The sequence below is a fragment of the Homo sapiens genome, chromosome 2, assembly GCF_000001405.40.
Source record: "Homo sapiens chromosome 2, GRCh38.p14 Primary Assembly".
NCBI classification, from domain to species: domain Eukaryota; kingdom Metazoa; phylum Chordata; class Mammalia; order Primates; family Hominidae; genus Homo; species Homo sapiens.
In genome coordinates, this window is record NC_000002.12 from 130237288 (window position 1) to 130259559 (window position 22272).

The window sequence follows — 22272 nt, forward strand, 5'->3', positions numbered from 1 at the left end:
ACTTCTCAAAAGAAGACATTTATGCAGCCAAAAGACACATGAAAAAATGCTCACCATCACTGGCCATCAGAGAAATGCAAATCAAAACCACAATGAGATACCATCTCACACCAGTTAGAATGGCGATCGTTAAAAACTCAGGAAACAACAGGTGCTGGAGAGGATGTGGAGAAATAGGAACACTTTTACACTGTTGGTGGGACTGTAAACTAGTTCAACCATTAGTGGAAGTCAGTGTGGCGATTCCTCAGGGATCTAGAACTAGAAATACCATTTGACCCAGCCATCCCATTACTGGGTATATACCCAAAGGATTATAAATCATGCTGCTATAAAGACACATGCACACATATGTTTATTGTGGCACTATTCACAATAGCAAAGACTTGGAACCAACCCAAATGTCCAACAATGATAGACTGGATTAAGAAAATGTGGCACATATACACCATGGAATACTATGCAGCCATAAAAAATGATGAGTTGATGTCCTTTGTAGGGACAGGGATGAAGCTGGAAACCATCATTCTCAGTAAACTATTGCAAGGTCAAAAAACCAAACACCTCATGTTCTCACTCATAGGTGGGAATTGAACAATGAGAACACATGGACACAGGAAGGGGAACTCACACACCGGGGCCTGTTGTGGGGTGGGGGGAGGGGGTTGGGATAGCATTAGGAGATATATCTAATGTTAAATGATGAGTTAATGGGTGCAGCACACCAACATGGCACATGTATACATATATAACTAACCTGCACATTGTGCACATGTACCCTAAAACTTAAAGTATAATAAAAAAAAAAGAATATCTGTTGGACCATGCGTGTGAATTGGCCATTTGACATAAGAACTCAGAGAGGGGGCCAGCTCAAGTAGTTAAATGCTATTAAAGTGAAACTGAAATTTATTATTTTATTAGGAAAAATAACTAAAGTTCTATTTCTTTAATCCATCCTAATGAATTTTTTGTGCAAACTTCATATTTAAAAAGACTATGGCTTTAGAACAGGTTTCTCTAAGGACAGTATGGTTCTCTAAGCATCTGTTTGTTTAAAATTCAGATTCCCAGATCCCATCCCATAACTACTATATCAAAGTCCCAAAGAGAAGATGGGGAGAGAGGAGAAAGGAATTCATATGTTTAATAAACTCCCCAAGTGATTATTGTGCATATATATATTTATTTATTTGAGACAGAGTCTTGCTCTGTTGCCCAGGCTGGAGTGCAGTGGCACAATCTCAGCTCACTGCAACCTCCACTTTCCAGATTCAAGCAATTCTTGTGCCTCAGCGTCCCAAGTAGCTGAGATTACAGACGTGCACCACCACACCCAGCTGAATTTTGTATTTTTAGTAGAGATGGGTTTTCACCACGTTGGCCAGGTTGGTCTCGAACTCCTGACCTCAAGTAATCTGCCTACCTTGGCCTCCCCCAAAATGCTGGGATTACAGGAGTGAGCCACCATGCCCAGCCAATATTTTGAAAACCAATGCTTCAGAGCAATTTAAAAAATAATCATAGGCATTACATATAATCCTCAAAGGTTACATGCACAAAACTGGGCATCTCTATTATGAAATAGTTGAGGACTCTGACATCCTTTTCAGCTTTTTTTCTATCATTCGAATTAGCCTTTTCTTTTTTCTGTTTCTTCTTGAGTCCATTTTAGTAATTTTTATCCTCCTAGGATATCATAATTTTAGTTAGCTTTTAAAAGAATTATTGTAATAAATTATATTTAGAAAATAATTTAGTATGCTTTTCTTTTCCATACCTGTCTGATCATGCATGTCCCTATATAGGGATACAAACTGCTAGTGATATCTTTAGTTTAAGGGAAATGAGAGAACAGAAGTTTAAAATTTATCTAGCTCAAACACAAAGAGAATGCAAACTGTTAAAAGATATTTTTAAGGGGAATGTGAGAACAGAGGTTTAAAATGTATTTAGTCAAACACAAAGAAAAAGAGAGTCGGCTGGGTACGGTGGCTCACGCCTGTAATCCTAGCACTTTGGGAGGCCGAGGTGGGTGGATCACTAGGTGAGAAGTTCGAGACCAGCCTGACCAACGTAGTGAAACTCCATCTCTACTAAAAATACAAAAATTAGCCGGCATGGTGGCTCACACCTATAATCCCAGCTACTTGAGAGGCTGAGGCAGAAGAATTGCTTGAACCTGGGAGGCAGAGGTTGCAGTGAGCAGAGATCGTGCCATTGCACTCCAGCCTGGGCAACGAGAGCAAAACTCTGTCTCAAAAAAAAAAAAAAGTAAAGAAAAAGAGAGTCAATATTTTGAAGTCCACATAAAAGATGATAGTTTGGAAAGCTGTTAGTTTACAAGAACCAAGATTTTTGAAAGAACAATTTTTGAAAATCAAAAGGCAAAGATTTGAAAGATAAAGGTATAACATTAGCCTACAAATAAACAATTAAGGTTGCGGTTTTCCAGGGAGTCAATAGGATGACAGAGAACCTGACAAGAACGAGGTCAGGGTGACCTGCATGGCTTCCAGGGATCACACAGAGAAGAGCAGAGATCATACTTGGAAAGAACTCAGTTTCTGCCCTAAAGAAGACCAATACAGCCAAACCAAGGGCAGTCGGGCAGGTGATGGAACCAAGCCACGCTGAAGTCTGTCCACCACCGTTCAGGGGAGTGCTGTTCCCCGTCCCACCAGGAGAACTGCTAGCATTGCCTTCATTGCCCCCCGTGAAGGTCTTCCTTTGATCGCTGTTTGCACCTCACTCCATGACACCCAGGAGAAATGTGACCCGTATACATCCTGATGTTTCAGTCAGCCCATCTCAACTCTACTATAAATATTTTTCAATAACCCAGCACTTTTTAAGGCCCCTAAAAGAAAGGGTAGAACCGTGGATGCCCGACAGGACTGGGTAGTGCAGAGAGAACCAGCAGCTCAACTTGGGTGGTTTCAGAAAAACAAAAAACAAAAAACAAAACAGTTCAAAACTTCACTTTGAGCCAGGACAGTGGAAAGAGCCACAGCTGTTCTATTAGTATCAGTATTTTTAGCAGAGTCTACTTTCCTCAGGCTGCAACTTTTCTTACTGGAAAAGTGCAACCACCTCTTAACTGATCTCCCTGAAACTGTTCTCTCCACCCTCCAGTCTTTTCTGTACATTGCTTGCAACAATTACCTTCCAAAAAATCAAATGTGGTCATGTTTCCTCTCTAGAAATCTTTATTATCCTGTTGTTGCATACAAGAGGAAGGCCAAACTCAGCAGCATTAACTGGACTGCCCTTCAAAACCCAGTCGCAGTCAAAATTTTAGCCTCAACCTATGCCTCTGCCAGTGTTTAAACTTAAATGTTAGCCATTTCAAACAGGGCAGAGCTTTTCCATACGGTTGAATATTTACTCACTGGTTCTTCCTCCTAGATTATCATGAACTTGGTTCTCTGCCCAGCAAACTCCTTCCCAACTCAAATACTATTATGACCCTATAAAAAGTTACTTGCTTTCTCTCTCATTTACCGAGGTGCTTTATTCAGATTAATCTAAAAGCATCCGTCAGATTCTTTTTTTTTTTTTTTTTTTGAGACGGAGTCTCACTCTCTCGCCCAGGCTGGAGTACAGTGGCATGATCCCAGCTCACTGCAAGCTCCGCCTTCCGGGTTCATGCCATTCTCCTGCCTCAGCCTCCCGAGTAGCTGGGACTACAGGTGCCCGCCACCATGCCCGGCTAATTGTTTGCATTTTTAGTAGAGACGGGGTTTCATCGTGTTAGCCAGGATGGTCTCGATCTCCTGACCTTGCGATCCGCCCGCCTCAGCCTCCCTAAGTGCTGGGATTACAAGCGTGAGTCACTGCGCCCAGCCCCGTCAGATTCTTTGATCATGATTTCCTCTTGTCTCTTTCCCTACTGGACTGACAGCTCCTTGAGAGCAGTGACTTCCTTCCACTTGCTCCTAGGAGCCACCCTATACATGTTTGTTGAATGACTCAGTCCACAATGAGTGACACAGCTGACTAACATAAAACTAAAATGACCTTTGTTCACACAACAGGCTACAGTACTTTGTTAATTGTTCTGATCCAGCTTTTTTTTTGTACTTGGAAGTTTATTTGTTCATCGTGCATCATTTCTCTATGTTTGGTCAATCATTCCAGCCTGACAAGGTAGTTTTTTTTTTTTAATCATTTTTTAAACCTTCTGAGTCTGTTATCCAAGGAATAATGTTGCCTCTTCCAGCTGCATCCTCAGCACCATTTATAATTGTGCCATCAATTCCCTCATCCAAGTTATAAATATCAGTTCTGGACAGAGAGTTTTACATGGCAGTTACCCTATCTTCTCTAGAATTATACTTATTTCTTGTTTTGTCAACTTGAATGTGAACTCCTCAAGACAGGCATCATGGACCTCTCATGTTTATGTTCTCTTAACTTTCTTGATTTTAATAAACACTACAAAATATCCTAGTGTCCCTTGATGGTGGTGACAGAAAGCGGGTTCTGGAATCAGATGACCGAGGATCAGACCACAGCCCCCCACCTGCAGGTCAACTTAGGCAAGTTTCTCAAACCCTTCTAGCCATCAATGACATTTTCTCATATACAAAATGTGGAAAAAAGTAGTACCTACATGACAGAATTGTCTTGAGAGAATAAAACAGATAATGTATGTAGAACGTTTCATGCTATACTTAATCCAGAGTGTTTAATATAATAATAGTTATTAGAGGTATTAGTTGAATAAAATAAATAATGGAAATATCAATGTCATCAAATCTACTAATTTATTACTCAAGTGTATACTTTGCTAGGGCTGCCATTACAAAGTACCACAGTCTGGGTGGCTTTAGCAACAGAAATCTATTTTCTCACAATTCTGGAGGCCAGATCTCCAAGATCAAGGTGTCAGCAGGGTTGACACCTTGAGGCCTTTTTTTTGTTTTGTTTTGAGGCCTTTATTCTTGGTTAGTAGGTGGCCATCTTCTCCTTGCACCTTCACATGGTCTTTCCTCTGTACCTGTCTGTGTCCTAATCTCCTCTACTTACCAGAGCACCAGTTATACTGGATTAGAGCCCACTCCAACAAACTCATTTAACCTTATTTATTTTTTTAAAGACCCAATCTTGAAATGCAGTCATTCTTAGACACTGAGAGTTAGGATATCAAACATAATTTTTTTTTGGAGAGGGGACACAATTCAGGCTGTGATAATCAGTAATAGCTATCACACCCATTATAAGTAATATCTAAGTTAGTCATGATCAGCTGTATAACCATCAACAACAACTCACTGACCCTTCTTTTGTCTTTTTTTTTGAAACAAGGTCTCGCTCTGTTACCCAGGCTGTAGTGCAGTGGCATGATCTTGGCTCACTGCAGCCTCAATCTCCCAGGCTCAAGTGATCCCCCAACCTCAACCCGCTGAGTAGCTGGGACTACAGGCATGTGCCACCACACCCAGCTGATTTTTATTTTCATTTTTTTTGAGATGGAGTTTCACTCTTGTTGCCCAGGCTGGAATGCAATGGTGCAATCTCGGCTCACAGCAACCTCTGCCTCCTGGGTTCAAGCCATTCTCCTGCCTCAGCCTCCCAAGTAGCTGAGATTACAGGCATGTGCCACCACGCCCGGCTAATTTTGTATTTTTAGTAGAGACGGGGTTTCTCCTTGTTGGTCAGGCTGGTCTCGAACTCCAGACCTTAGGTGATCCACCTGCCTCAGCCTCCCAAAGTGCTGGGATTACAGGCATGAGCCACCGTGCCCAGCCTGATTTTTTATTTATTTATTTTTTGTAGACACAGGGTTTCTCTATGTTGTCTAAGCTAGTCTCAGCTGAAACAGGGCTTAGCTCACACAGTTCAAAACTAGCTGAAGGCCTGACTTTCCCTGGTGACCATACCAGATACAATCATAAAGCAGGGAAAAAAGAGAATGTGCCTGGCGACTCCTCTTCTGGAAACTCTCTGGGAAATCCGTCCTTTTGGCCACTATCAATGCCTGGGGGCAGCTTAGATTGAAAACTGTGGTGCCCCATTAGCAGGCAACTTTCCTCCAAGAAAATGTTATTTTTCTTTCCCTTATTGAATTACTGGCTTCATTATATTGGGGTTTATTTGGGAGGGGAAATTTCTGTCTTCCTTGAATTAAAACCTGTGGTTAGACATGGTTCTTTTGTACATATACCGTTTCATAGGGTTTTGAAAAAAGGAAGGGATGAAGGAAAAGAAAATGATGAGGATAAAACCACCAGTTGGCTTAGTTCTCTGTAAATATTTTCTTTTTTTTTTGATTGACAAAGATTACGCAAGACTTTATTTTTACTTATAAAGTGAACATATTTAGAAACATTATTAATCCCTTAAAATAACCAAGATGTTGCTTATCAATAGGTATTAACTATATTATATACAATATATGAATATTTTATTATATAAAACATATTTATATAAATATAATGTATATAATATATAAAATAAGCTTTGGTAGTGAATAATAATGGTTAGCTTAATCAGTATAGTAATGATAATTTTTTGCTCTCCTGTGCAAATGACACTGGGATGTTCTTATAACTTTTATGTGCTCATCTATAATTTCATCTGTCTTTACAGAATCAGGAAAATTACTATCTTGTTCTCCATTCTACTTTTTGCACTTAGTCTCTGTCATGTAGTAAGAATTTGATAATCACTGTTAATTATTTTAGCTATAAAACCAAAGATTTGCAAGAAGTACGTATTTATGCTCATTCCATATTTGTAGAATTTACATTGATTGATTGTTTTTTGAAAAGATAATATTTTCATATGGTTAAAATTTATAAGGGAATATCATGAAGTATCTCTGTTTCCAATTCCCAACTTCCATTCCTGGTCTCAATCAGTATTATTAATTCTATTTTTTTAAATTTTATTATTATTATACTTTAAGTTTTAGGGTACATGTGCACAACGTGCAGGTTTGTTACATATGCATACATGTGCCATGCTGGTGTGCTGCACTCATTAACTCGTCATTTAGCATTAGGTGTATCTCCTAATGCTATCCCTCCCCTCTCCCCCCACCCCACAACAGTCCCCAGAGTGTGATGTTCCCCTTCCTGTGTCCATGTGTTCTCATTGTTCAATTCCCACCTATGAGTGAGAACATGCGGTGTTTGGTTTTTTGTCCTTGCAATAGTTTACTGAGAATGATGATTTCCAGTTTCATCCATGTCCCTACAAAGGACATGAACTCATCATTTTTTATGGCTGCATAGTATTCCATGGTGTATATGCACCACATTTTCTTAATCCAGTCTATCATTGTTGGACATTTAGGTTGCTTCCAAGGCTTTGCTATTGTGAATAGTGCCACAATAAACATACGTGTGCATGTGTCTTTATAGCAGCATGATTTATAATCCTTTGGGTATATACCCAGTAATGGGATGGCTGGGTCAAATGGTATTTCTAGTTCTAGATCCCTGAGTATTCACCACACTGACTTCCACAATGGTTGAACTAGCTTACAGTCCCACCAACAGTGTAAAAGTGTTCCTATTTCTCCACATCCTCTCCAGCACCTGTTGTTTCCTGACTTTTTAATGATTGCCATTCTAACTGGTGTGAGATGGTATCTCATTGTGGTTTTGATTTGCATTTCTCTGATGGCCAGTGATGGCGAGCATTTTTTCATGTGTCTTTTGGCTGCATAAATGTCTTCTTTTGAGAAGTGTCTGTTCATGTCCTTCGCCCACTTTTTGATGGGGTTGTTTGTTTTTTTCTTGTAAATTTGTTTGAGTTCATTGTAGATTCTGGATATTAGCCCTTTGTCAGATGAGTAGGTTGTGAAAATTTTCTCCCATTTTGTAGGTTGCCTGTTCACTCTGATGGTAGTTTCTTTTGCTGTGCAGAAGTTCTTTAGTTTAATTAGATCCCATTTGTCAATTTTGGCTTTTGTTGCCATTGCTTTTGGTGTTTTAGACATGAAGTCCTTGCCCATGCCTATGTCCTGAATGGTAATGCCTATGTTTTCTTCTAGGGTTTTTATGGTTTTAGGTCTAACGTTTAAGTGTTTAATCCATCTTGAATTAATTTTTGTATAAGGTGTAAGGAAGGGATCCAGTTTCAGCTTTCTACATATGGCTAGCCAGTTTTCCCAGCACCATTTATTAAACAGGATATCCTTTCCCCATTGCTTGTTTTTCTCAGGTTTGTCAAAGATCAGATATTCGCAGATATGCGGCGTTATTTCTGAGGGCTCTGTTCTGTTCCATTGATCTATATCTCTGTTTTGGTACCAGTACCATGCTGTTTTGGTTACTGTAGGCTTGTAGTATAGTTTGAAGGTCAGGTAGCATGATGCCTCCAGCTTTGTTCTTTTGGCTTAGGATTGACTTGGCAATGCAGGCTCTTGAAAAGTGATTTTCTAAATGCAGAGTTCTGATAACCTCAAACGGTCCCTTCCTTGGACGGTTATTTTGAAGAATAAGTAAGGAAGTATACACAGCATATTGCCTGACTGGTATTAAGCATTACATATTCTTTCAAAAAGGGTGGGCAGCTGGAGGGATGAGGCATGGCCCCCTTTTCCCAGGATCTTCTTTGGGCACATGGATGCCTAACCCTAAGCTGCAAAAATATGCAGCCCAACCCCCGAAGGAGAAGAAATGTCTGCTTCCTATTTGTCTTTGCGCGTGTGCTTTGCTTGGCCTTCTCAGGGTCTCTCTGGCACCAGAGCAGCCAAGCTGCTGGCCCACCATGGGCCCAGTGTCCTCACGCCTCCCAAGCAGACACCAGAGATTGTCAGGTTCCTCAAGCAGATGGTGGAAGGTTCTCCCTCCTCCTGTGGACCGGCACCCTCCTGTGCTGGATCGCATGTGGGATTCAGCACTACCAACAGTCCCTGGACAATATAAGTCTCTTGAGTGTCCCCTCCTGGTTTTGCTCAGGCAGTAACAGGGAGAACAGAGGCTGTCACTGCATGGGTGTGGGAAAAACAGTCATTTCCTCTGCTGTAAAACAGAAATGGTATCTGCCTTTCCAATGTCTCACAGGCAGTTTGTGCATGAATTTCACAAAAGAGAGAGACAGACATGAAGCACCCTGCATTTTTAAGAGGAAGAAAATATGCATCCATGTGAAGTATCTTTGGGCTCTGTTTCCTCCAAGCTAGCCTTTCCCTTTAACATGGAGAGCATGTGTGCCTGATGAGACCTGGGAAATCAAATCACAAAATTGAGTCCGCCACATGACGCTGACAGACAGAAACCAGAGGCAGCCAGCCACGTGTCGCAGGATTAAATTGACGTGAAATGTGCAGAATAGGCACATCCACAGGGCAGGAAGCAGATCAGTGGTGCCGGGACTGCGGATGGAGCAAAGGGTACTGCAGAGGGGCAGGGGGCATCTGCTGGCAGCATTGAGATGCTGAGGCTGAAGTGCAGGATGGTTGCACAACTCTGCAAACTTACAAAAAAATCAACAAATGGTGCACTTAACATAGGTGAATGCTGTGGCCTGTAAATTACACCAGGTCACAGCTGCCAGCATCACATCCTCCTATGGAGAGCCCCAGCCTCCAGGCTTGGGTCCTTGCTGCTGCCTATTTCTCTGGCTGATGCCCCTGCTCCTCACCCAGGTGTACTTGGCTATGTACTTGTCCTAGTTGTCATTTTGATAGGGATCTTTACTTGTTGGCAAGAGATAAAAAGCACTGACATCTTGTCCACCTCTTTAAGATGATCCTCAGGTGGGTGCCAGCCACCCCTCCTCTGGTCTCTGGTGACTCCCAGGTGAGGAAGCCTCAGGAGAGTAGGAGCTTGGGGCCCCAGGAGCCGAGAGTCCCTGCTCAAGCTCCGGCCTGCCCTTCCCTGTCTGAGAAAGCTTGGGCAAGTTACATCTCTCTGAACCCTGTTCCTCACAGGATTTTGATGATCAAGCGTGTTCCCATCCAGGAAAATGTGAATCACTGTCCAACATCTATGCCTGCTCTCAGCATTTGTGGACAGTTATCTGGGGGCTTCTGGAAGGAGCCTGTAGAAGGTCAGGGAGTTTCTTAACCAAAAGCAGAGGAGATCCACCTGGGATTGTTGATCTGTGACTGTTCTGAGACAGTCTGAGTCCCAAAATGCACTCAGCGAGGGGACCTAGCACTCCCCTCTCACCAGGAACCCTGACAGGTGTCCAAGGCAGGAAAGCCATGCTGGCCCTGGCTCAGGGAGCTGCTGGCTGGAGTGAAGGTTCTAGGTGCAAAGGATGCCTCCTGCCGAGCTCAAAGCAGGAGATCACCTTGTTAGAATTTCCCTGACCCTCACGAGATTATTAACACCTTCAGTGTTCTTCCCAGATGCCCAGCCAGTATAGCTCACCCTTGTTTCCCTTTCTATGAGGTCCAGGGCTCTTGCTTTGTTAGATCTGCCTGACAGCAGCCTTTTCTGGTTCCAAGAACATCTCTTTGAGCTTAAGAAAGAATAGTTCTTAGAGTCTTCAGCTCCTAGGTCAAACCATCTTCAGTTGTATTCTTGCCAATGTGACAGCTTCAGGTTCCAAGGCCTCCATGCTGGGGTTTGCTGCAGCACAGATTGGAGAGGAGGGCTGGGGTCCTTCTAGGATATGAGGCACCTGTCACAGCTTTCTTCTGCAGCAAGCTCTTGTCATCTCAGATTCTGAGGAGATCATCGCTGCAGAGCAGCTGGGGTGTGGGCATTGTGGAGGCTGAAGAGAAGACCAGATCTCTGCAGATATCAAGGTGCTGCCTTCTATGGGGTGTCGGGCAAGTGGCAGGGGCACCAGCCCTGGGGACTGTGCTTAGAGCAGCTGGTGTTCCACCTTTCCCTACCTCAGTGTAAGAGGCAAGGAACAAGGTGCCTAATTTTGATCTGTTTTCCACATTTCTTCTAGGTGGGTAACTCGCCCGTCATGGGGGAGTCTGAGCCCTAGGCCCGCTCCTCTGAGTTGCACACGAGACCCTCTTGGGAACAAGAACATCTGTTTCTCTTCTCCAACCTGTCTGGGAGGTGAGGCTGCTAGCTCTCGGGCTGCATGCCCACCCACACCCCTTCTCCCTTCTGGGGCCTCATGTCTGTTCTTTGTGACACCTTGTTACAAAGCTTGTCGTAGAGGAAGCATGAAACTGAAGGGCCTAGATGACACATGTTTGGTCTTCATAACATCACACGCTCATGGATCATGCAAGCGCTGAGGGAGGGCTACAAGCTGGCTGTGTGCCCCTCATAGCTAACATCCCTGGAATAAAATGTCTACTTCCCTGGTAGGCATCGCCACGGCATAGCGATCGGCACGGTGACCGCACACCACTGGTCATATTGCCTCCTTGATCTCAGGAGTTGGAAATGAGAAGACGCCATTGCCGCTGAGAGGGGGCACTGTGTTGGTCTGTGGCGGGAATGGCCATCTCCACCGGCACCCTTTTCTTCATCATGGCAGTGTCCCTGCAGTATCACATCCTGGACTCTGTTATATTCCTCACTGGCATCACTGTGGCCAATGTGCCCAAGGTGTCCTGGCCACTGTTACTGTGAGTCCCTGCTGTTAGGCAGCTGCACTCAGCCCTGTGGACACAGCATTGCTGCTCTCTCCACCAAGTCCAGGGCACCAACCCTCCCTGCCAGGGACAATCACGGCACCTTCTGAATAGACTGTTTCTTAGAGGGACAAAAGGAATTGTCTAAAATTAGACAAACTTACTTTAAAACAACAACAAAAATATTAACAGAAATAAGGATATTTTATAACGACAAAGGGTAAATTAATCAGGAAAATGTAAAACTTATTGACATGTATGCACTCAGGGAAAGAGTACAGAAACACAAGAAGCAAAACTTGACAGAAATGAAATAATTCAGCAATGATAGTTGGAGACTTTAGTACCCCACTTACACTAATGGGTATAACAACTAGACACAAGATAACAAGGAAATAGAAAATATGAACAACATCAGAAACCAAATACACCTAACAGATACATATAGAACACACCATTCAACAGCACAATCTGTATTCTTCCCAAATGCACACAGAACATTTTCTAAGACACTATGCAAAGCCATAAAACAAACACCAATTAAATTGAAGGATTAAAATAATACAAAGAATATTTTCTCATCATGATAAAAGCACATTAAGGATCAATGAAAGGAAGAAATCTGGGAAACTCCTAAAAATGTGAACATTAGCAGAAACTTTCCAAAATAATAAAAGGCCAAAAAAGAAACCACAAGTAGTATAAGACAGTATTTTAAGATAAATGAAAAAGTAGACAAAACCTAAAAAAAAAACTTACAGGATTAATTGAAAACCATGCTCTGAAGGAAGCTTACAGCAGAATTCCATCAATGAAAAAGCAGAAAAATCTCAAATCAATAACTAAATGCCTGTTAAAAACATTTAAATGGAAATGGCTGACCCCACTCATCTGAGAAAAGGATATCAGTTGGGGCAAAAATAGTCTTGTTGAAAAACCCTAGGAAGGAAGACTTGGAAAGGACACCCTCTGGAATTCAGGGCTGTGACAATAGTTTTGGAAATCTAGAAGGCAATGTGGATGCTCAGGGCCAGGCACGTGATCAGGAATGACCCAGGAAGACCCTAAGCTCTCACCTCTGACCTTCAAATTCTGCAAAAGAAGAAGGTAAAAAGAAGTTGTCATTAGATTAAAATAATTGGTTATAAGATGTTCTATACAAGCTTCATGGTAACCAAAAACCAAAATCCTATGATAGGTATGCACAAAATAGAAAGCAAGCAGTTAAAACATACTACCAGAGCAACTCACTTTTATACAAAGGAACACAGGAAGCACGAAAGAAAGGAAGAGAGGACCAAACAATCAACTAGAAAACAAGTAGCAAAATTGCAATACTATGCCCTTACCTATCAATAATAACACTGAAGGTAAATGGACTAAATGATCCAATCAAAAAACACAGAGTAGCTCAATCAATTAGAAGACAAGAGCCAACTATAGGCTTCCTACAAGAAATCCACTTCACCTATAAAGACACATATAGATTGAAAATGAAGGGGTTGAAAAAGACGTTCCATGAAATGAAAACCAAAAAAGAGCAGGAGTAGCTAGCTACACTTAGATGAGACAAAATAGATTTCAAGACAAAAACTGTAAAAAGAGACAATAAAGTTTATTATATAATCATCAATTCTTCAAGCTAATATAACTATTATAAATATATATGTACCCAGCATTGGAGCACTCAGATATATAAAGCAAATATTATTAGAGTTAGAGAGACAAATACCAATAAAGTAATAGCTGGGACTTTAACACCCCACTTTCAGCATTGAACAGATCATCTAAACAGAAAGTTAACAAAGAATCATCAGACAATCTGTACTGTAGACTCAATGGACCTAATACATATTTACAGAATATTTCATCCATCAGCTTCAGAATACACATCCTTCTCCCCAGCACATAAAACAGTCTCAAAGATTGGCCGTATGGTAGACCACAAAACACGTTTCAAAAAAATTTTTTTAAACATGAAATTACATTAAATATGTTTTTCTGACCACACTGGAATAAAACGAGAAATAACTAAAGAAACTTTGAAAACCATACAAACACATGGAAATTAAACTACATGCTTCTGAATGACCATTGAGTCAATGAAGAAATTAAGAAGAAAATGTTTTAAAAATTTCTTGAGACAAATGAAAATGGAAACACAATGTAACCAAATCTATGGGATACAACAAAAGCAGTACTAAGGGGGAAGTTTATAGCAATAAACACCTACATAAAAAGTAGAAAAACTTCCAATAAACAACCTAATGTTGCATCTTAAAGAAATAGCAAAGCAAGAGCAAAGCAAACCCAAAATTAGTAGAAGAAAAGAAATAACAAAGATCAGAGCAGAGGCCAGGGTGGTGGTTCACGCCCGTAATCCCAGCACTTTGGGAGGCCAAGGCAGGCGGACCACCTGAGGTCAAGAGTTTGAGACCAGCCTAGCCAACATAGCAAAACCGAGTCTCTACTATAAATACAAAAATTAGCCAGGCATGGTGGCTGGTGCCTGTAATCCCAGCTACTTGGGAGGCTGAGGCAGGAGAATCGCTTGAACGGGGGAGGCAGAGGTTACAGTGGGCTGAGATCGTGCCATTGCACTCCAGTCTGGGTGACAAAGCAAGAATCCGTCTCAAAACAAAACAAAACAAAATCAGAACAGAAATGGAGACTAAAAAAAATACAAAAGACCAATAAAATTTCCAGTTATATTGAATCATCAAAACCAGCAACAGACGCAGCAGCACAGGGCACAGCTGCAGCTACAGGAGCAGCAGCAACAGGCTTTGCAGGCCCAGTGCCAATACAGCAGCCACCAATGCAATGTCTGCTGCAGCCTGCCCCCTCCCAGGTCCTGCCCCAGCAGCTGCAGCAGATACGTCAACCACACCACCACTAGCAGCTGCCATAGTCCCGGCAACCTCCAGCTGCTCAGAACCAACCATTGCAGCTCCCGCCACAGTCAGTCACAGACCCAGCCTTTGGTGTGGCAAGTGCAAGCATTCCCTGGACAGATGTATGCCCAACAACAGCTGCAATTTGTCTGAGCTCCAAGGGTAGTTCAGCAGCTGCAAGTGCAGCCCCGCTGCAGCCGGTGCAGTCCTGGACGCAGTAGCTGACAGTGGTGCGGACCGCTGAGGCTCCCCAGGTGGTGGCTCCCGGAGTCCATGGTAGCCAGAGCAGCCTCCCCATGATGTCCTCGCCGTCGCAGGGCCAACAGGTGCAGACCCTGCAGTCGATGTCCCCTCCCCGACTGCCGTCCTCACAACCCGACTAGCCCCGGTCTCACAGCCCAACTCCAACATCAGCTCCGGCCCTGCCCCAGCGCCCAGTGGCTAGCTTCCTGCCCAGCCCCTCGCCGAAACCCTCCCAGAGCCCAGGGATGGCGCACCAGAACTTCAGAGTCCCATGACCCGGATCTTTAAACGCCCCTATGAAACGCGGCTCAGTCATGAGCCCAGCGGGCTCCAGCCGGGCCGAGCAGCAGCAGTGCCTGGACAAGCTAAAGCCGCTGCCCAAGTACAGGGAGCCCCTGCGCCGCCTGAGCAACGGGATCCACGGGAACCAAGACAGCAAAAGGGCTGCGGTAAGACGAGCCTTCTGGACGCTCTGACAGTCGGCTCCCAGCTGTGTCCCCTGGAGACCCTGTGGAAGCCTGAGATCGCCCTGGAGAAACGCAAGCATGACCTGGAGGTGCCCAAGCCCCGACTGCACCTGGTGCCGCTGACCACGCAGCAGCACTTGGCGCCTGCCGCTCCTGGACACACAGTCCTGGCCCGCATCTGCTCGCAGTCCTGAACCATTCCCTGCACCGCGCCTTGGTGCTGCCCAGCACAAACACCTTTCCAAAGGAGGCAAATCAAATACGCATCTATCTCAGTGAGCAGGGGAGAGACTTTAAATAAAATGGGAGGCAGGTTTGCCCTAAGCAGCTCCAAGCTTAAGTTTAATTTAATGATTTTGGGGGGCCCAAAATATTTTCCTTTCACAGGCGCAATGGGAGCTCAGGGTCTCCTGAGAGCATCTTGTGTGCAGGCTCGAGGCACCTCCACTCGCTTCCACAGGGGAACACGGAGGACACAAGAAACCCTTCACACACACGATTCTCTGATCGCAGTTTTGGATTCAGGCTCCCTGCTTTCGGCATCTGGACGCCGCAGGCGGAAGCTAGGGTCAGGGTGGAACGCTGCCTCTGGAGGGAGCCCGGGCCTAGAGGCTGCCGGGTCCCCGCTCCCAGCTGGAGCTCAGCCCTGCGGGCGCCCGAGGAGCGGGGGCATCGGAGATCCTGTCCTCCGCACCCCTGGCCCGCTCTCGGCTCAGGGCCGCACCCCAGCTGTGCAGGATGCCCCGCGATGTCTGGGGGCCCCGCGCTCAGAGCACCCCGGGCGCTCTGCGCCACTGCAGAGTGTGCAGCCCTGGCAGGGGAGCCGTGCCTCCCTCTGCTACCCACACTCGGGACCCAGAGCAGATCTCTGGCCCCAGGATCCCCCTTTTTAATGTGCGCTGCCCCATCATCCGTGATTTTTTCTTTTATTTTTCTTTTTTTGGACAGAGTTTCGCTTTGTTGTCCAGGCTGGAGTGCAATGGCGCGATCTTGGCTCCCTACAATCCCCGCCTCCTGGGTTCAAGCAATCATCGTGACTAAGCCTCCTGAGTAGCTGGGATTACAGGCGCCGGCCACCACGCCCAGCTGATTTTTTGTATTTTAGTAGAGGCGGGGTTTCACCATCTTGCCCAGGCTGGTTTCCAACTCCTGAGCTCAGGCAATCTGCCTGTCTGGACCTCCCAAAGCGCTGATTACAGGTGTGAGCCACAATGCCCGGCCTCGTGATTCTTACAATTGTATCACTCCTGTGTTTGTCCGGGGTTTATCACTGCAGCACCCCTTCTCCGTCCATCTGGGGCCCGCTGTCCCCTCAGGATGCTGTCAGCCTTGGAGCTGGCAGAGACCAGTCTGGCCCTGGATGCCCAGACCTTACCTCTCCTCTGTCGCAGGGTCCTCTTCCTACACCTTGTTCGCCCCCCAGCTTCCTGGCACAGTTCTTGCTCCCTGTAGCAGCAAGAGACTGAGCTTAATGCCAGGAAATCTGGGCTGTGGGACGGGAGGGTGGGCTGCCAGTGAGGGTGGCACTGAGCTGACCACCTAGGACAATGGTGGCACCTGGGGCTATGGCGATGGGGGCCACATGGGCTGGGCAAGGCACTCTGGAGATGGCTGCCCAGGAGAATGATGAACTGGTAGGACCACGCCTAAGCGGCCCTGTGTGAGGCAGGAGAGGCCAGCAGCTTGCCCCCAGCAGTGTGCTGTGTTTGTGAGGAAGCTGCCGGCCCAGGCAGTGCACCAGGAAAGCCCTCCGGTCTCCAAAGAGGGCCTGCACAGCTTTGCCAATGGTTTTTTTCCAGGGTAGCTGCCAGGTCCTGGAATGAGCAAGACTCAGCTGCCCAGAGGGGTCCCTGCGGACAGCAGGGGCTGGGATGGGACACCTGATAGCCAGTGAGAAATACAAGCACGACTTGAGAGAAACACAAGCCTTATTTTCAGTCTTACAAATAAGGCGATCCTCATTTTGTCATGTGCATTTGTGTACCCGCTGAATAGCAAAATAACAGCAAGAAAAGATGACAATTTATATTTTCATAGACTCAGAAAAAGTAACAGGCAACAGTGTGTTTCAAATTTTCGATTAGTTGATTTTACAGTGCAAACATGGAAGAATCTGCAGCATGCTAGGACAAAATAATTTTATTAATTTTATAATTTTACTGAGATTGCTATTTAAAATAATTAGATGTGGGGATACTACAGGAAAATAGGAAAAAGTTCATGCTGCAGATGAGTTTTTCAGATGAGTTTTCACAAATATTTTTGAATCTTGAATCTTTGAATAAGATGAAATTATTCTGAATATGTGTGTTTGGGTGATAACAGTTGCCAACAAAAATATGGCTCATAACACCAGTTTCATTTGATTGCCTTTGGTACATTTTAAAAAATGCTACACTACTTTATTCCACATTAGGTGAAATTTATTTTTTCTTACAGTCAGATTTTATCGTGTAAAAAACATTCTGGATATGTAGGTAAATTTGATTTATTATCTGATTATAGGAGTTTCTGATTGTAACTGACATTGTTTGGATACAGGAGAGTTAATTAATCATCATTAATGAATCACAGTTAATATGTCCATTACAGTTGAGTGCTACATCTTTACACTGGAAGAAGCAGTGGATGTGTAGCAGAAACTTTCGAGTAAAATAGTTCTGGGTTCTTATAATCCCTTCTCTGATATCTACCAACTCTGTGTCCTTAGGCAAGTTAATTACCATCACTTTCCTGATCCATAAAGGGAATAATACTAATATCTACAAAATATGGTTAGAGTGAAGTTTCATGAAGTGATGAATGTAAATAACCTGGCAGAGTGCCTGGGGATACAGCATGATTCATCACGATACCTGCTAATATTAATACTGTCTAGTTAGAAAATTATTTAGATAAAATCATCTGGGTAATCATCACGGTGTATTAGCAACACAAAATCAATTTATAACCTCTTTTTACTCCTTCTGCTGGAGAAGCTGTAAAGCCTAAAGATTTGCCTTCTCAGTTTCCTTCTGGCTAGAGCTAGTCATGAGACCTTGTGGCCAATGGAATGATACCAACATACAAGACTTCTGGAAAAACCGGACAGACTCAGGTGACCTAGATTTTAGCTGTTTGCCCCTTCTCTTTTCCCTTGTCTTTCTAATATCTGGGATGTGGGTGTGATGTTTGAAACTGTTCCAGCTGCCTTCAAACTGTAAGAATGGAAAAATAAAGAAACCTGAATCATTGATGAAATTTTTGAGCTACAATGTGAGAACCAACACATCTGCATCTAAGTGACTTTACTCAGTGGAGAAACTCTTGCCCCGATAACACTGAAACTTACATTATTGTTAGTTTCAGGAACATCCCCTAATCTGTTTATCTGAACAACAGACCACTCAACTAATCCTCATTTCTCTCTTCTCAGGACAGCAGATTATCCAAACCAACTAATCAACTGGCTATCTACCCAACAAGAGTCCCTTCCAAATCCTTACCTCCCTGTGTTCACTAACCCTTAGCTATTGTACCTTGAAGTTTACCCAGTTTCAAGCACGCCTCACGTTAAGAAAGCCATGTTAAACCAGACACCAAATATCTCACAACCGTCCTGCCTGTGGCCTCCTTACTATAAGTAGCTAGTAAGATGCTCTGCAAGTGGTGGTGTCCCATACAACAGTAAGCAGTAAACTTGCCTTTGGTTTATGAAGAGATTTTGGTGGACTTTTCAGGGACTTAATCAACAAATACTAGGGCTTGATTACATAGGATAAGATTCTTTCTCTTCCTTTTTTTTTCTTTAGAGACAGGATCTCACTCTGTCGCCCAGGCTGGAGTGGCATGGTGCGATCATAGCTCTCTGCAGACTCGATCTCCCAGGCTTAAGTGATCCCTCCACCTCAGCCTCCTGAGTACCTCAGACTACAGGTGCATACCACCATACCCAACTAATTTTTAAATTTTTTGTAGAGATGGGGGTCTCGCCATGTTCCCAGGTTGGTCTCAACTGCTGGCTCAAGCGATATTCCCGCCTCAGCCTCTCAAAGTTCTAGGCTAACAGGTGTGAGCCACTGTGCCCAGCCAAGATTCTTGATACAGGTAAAATGAACCTCTTTTGTTCAAGCCACTGAATTTTGGTTTCGTTTATTCCTGAGCATATCTCTAACAAATTGTGCAGCTATTATTGTTCATAAAGTAATTTATGTAAAGACTATACTAGAACAGTATTTACTATACTATATTTGCATAGGATTTAGCAGAGAAATCATCAAGTAATGGTAGTTTTCCTTACTTTATGGCCAGTCATTAAATGTTCGTTCACATAATCTTCATGAAAGGATTTTGAGGGACAATTTTTTTAAAGTACATTCTGTCTGGTCAGTCACAACTCAATTCAAAACCCCATTCTGCCATCTGCTCACTATGTGACCCTGGGCACATTGATGAACTCCTAATCAGGCCTCAGTTTCCACACATGTAAAATTGTCATAGCAACCTTACTAGATTTTTTAAGGAAAATAAAAATAACATTATTGATAAATAAATGTAAACTATTTAGGAGAAACTTAGTTCAATTATGAAGCATTCGATGTGTTATGCTTTCCTCAAAGCTTCATGTTGTTCATGGTTTGCCCCTGCCTTGTGAAAGCTCCCTACTGAAGTCTCAGCCCTCTGTTCTAAACTGCTCTCTTCTCCACCCTAAAAACAACAAGAATTTTAAACCTCTGTTAAATCTCTAAAAATTCTAAGATTAATTCCTATTAAAATGGTAACAGCTATTAAAATTTAATACAGGCTAAGGATCCCCTTACCTTGGGACCAGAAGTATTGTGGATTTGGGTTTTTTTTTTTTAAGACTTTGAAATATTTGCATATACATAATCAGATATGTTGGGGATGTAATCCAAGTCTAAACAGAAAGTTCATTTATGTTTTGTATACACCTTATACAAATAGCCTAAAACTAATTAGATAAAATATTTTAAATAATTTTACGCATAAAAACAAATCTGACTGCATTTTGACTGTGACCCATCACCTAAGGTCAGGTGTGGAATTTTCCACTTATGGCATCATGTCAGCACTCAAAAAGTTTCAGATGTTGGAGCATTTCAGATTTCAGTATTTTGGATTAAGATGCTCAATCTGTATGTTACCCTGCCTAGGATTTTTCTGTATCTAATGGTAGAATCTAATGACTTTGAAAAGACAAGGCAATCATTTCCCCTTTGTCAGTGAAGAATATATTTTTTTCTCTCTGAAGTTGAAATCACACTAGGTAAACATTTACCCGTCCATGTGTAACTCTAACATGGCCACATTATTGAGCACTTACCTGCCTAGAGTCAGCTATTGAATAAGTATATTAAGTCTGCAGAAGGCCGAAATACGCACATTTAGATGGACTAGGGCTACAGGGCAATGGGCTTTGGACATTTTGCTTTATAAAGGTAACAGATTTGACTCTGCAATTTCATCACTTTCATTATTTCCCTATTGTCTGAAAATATCCATTTCTGCCGATTCCTTTTACTTACATCAGCAACACTGCAATAATACAACTCAGAGAACCTTTCAACATATTCCTTTTCTTGTATAAGGAGTGGAATCTTTCAAAACAAAATAATAACTTTAAATTGTAGAAGTTTATGTACTTAACTTCAGATGTTTTCAATTATAATGACTAGTGATATTCATAGTAGAAGCACATAGTTTAAAGGGCTAAGAATTGATTTGAAATATGTCAGAATTAGAAAGAAAGGTTAATTTGTTTTGAACCAACGTGTCGTGGTTTAGGTAAGTGTTTCTCAACCTTGGCACTCTTGATGTTGGGGCTGAATGATTCTGTCGCTAGGCAGCTATCCAGTGCATTGTAGAATTGTGGCAGCATCTCCAGCCTCCACTCACTACACAGCAGTCCACCAGTAGCAGCACCCTTTTGTGACCACCAAAAATGTCTCTAACTATTGTCAAATGGTACGTGAGAGTGAAATTACTCGTTGGTAACCACTCATTTTGTTTTGGCATCCTTACAGTTGACATGTATCATTTTCTTGCTCAGTATTAGAAGCTTCTTGTACTTCAGGAACATGTTACATACTTCTTGTCAAGTTTCCATTTGTTAAGTGTTTCCACAGCAACACTTAACAGGCAGCTGCCCTTGGCAGTATTCCTTCACTGAGAAGAATAAATGGGAGCTGCCCCAGCTCCATCTTACTCTTATTCTCCTTTTCTTCTACTCATGCTAACTTCTTTCGACTACTTGCTCACCCTTCATGGGATGGTTCCTATTTATTCATGGATTCCATTGCCTAATAGCTTCTGCTTCAGTCCTTCCTATTCTGTGCCATTATTCTTAACTTTGCTATTTATCTCACTAAATTCCCCACTAGATAGTGCATTTGTCTTTACTGAAGACACAGAAAATTCTTACCAGGCCACTCCACAGACTTCAGGTCTGCCTTTAGAGGAAGGTCCTTCAGAACAGAATCCTGTTTGACTGGCTAAAGTCATTTTTAAGAAAACTGTTGTCATTTCTTTTAATATGAACCCAGGTCAAGGAAGGCATGCTGAGTTGTGGAGGTATAGGATGTTATTCCAGGCAGGCACTTTCCCTCCGTTATGTGATACAGATGAGATTTGAGCATTACCTTTTTGTCACTTGAAATTATATCTTACAAAAATACAAACAGATAGAGCATATACAGATACACATTAGAAAGGGTGAGGGGAACAGATACAGAGGAAGGAGGAAGAGAGACAGAGAGGGAGGGAGGGGGAGAGAAAGTGGCTTTGTGTGGAGCCAAGATGGTAACATGCCGAACTGAGAGGCATGAGAGAGAGAGACAGAAAGACACAGAGACAGAGAGAAACAAACAGACACAGACAAAGAAGGGGTTCCAGGAAAACAACAGGGCACTAAGACCTCAGAACTTTCATGCTACAGAGAAAAGGGGTCAATGCTGGCTCATTATCCAAATCCTGATTTCAAAGCAAAATACAATTAAAGTGGATTCAGAGAACTCGTGACCAGAAACATGAAGGGACCGTCTAACACCTTAGTAAGCCAAGACCACCACAATCCTGGAACATAAACACAAAGAACTCAATATATGCTTGTTGCAAGAAGAAAGTTAAAAAAAAATTGTGCCAAGGCCTGTGCTGAGAAAGA

At 43.1% G+C, this 22272-nt stretch overlaps 1 pseudogene, besides 1 other annotated feature; it reads left to right on the forward strand.

Annotated features, from left to right (window-relative positions):
• On the forward strand, window positions 14215-15450 carry MED15P5 (mediator complex subunit 15 pseudogene 5; annotated as a pseudogene).
• Window positions 14529-15030: an enhancer, noted in NCBI's record as "H3K4me1 hESC enhancer chr2:131009389-131009890 (GRCh37/hg19 assembly coordinates)". NCBI's record gives its function as "activates a minimal SCP1, AML or CMV promoter by ChIP-STARR-seq in primed H9 embryonic stem cells {active_cell/tissue: H9 hESC(primed)}" and the evidence as "EXISTENCE:reporter gene assay evidence [ECO:0000049][PMID:30033119]".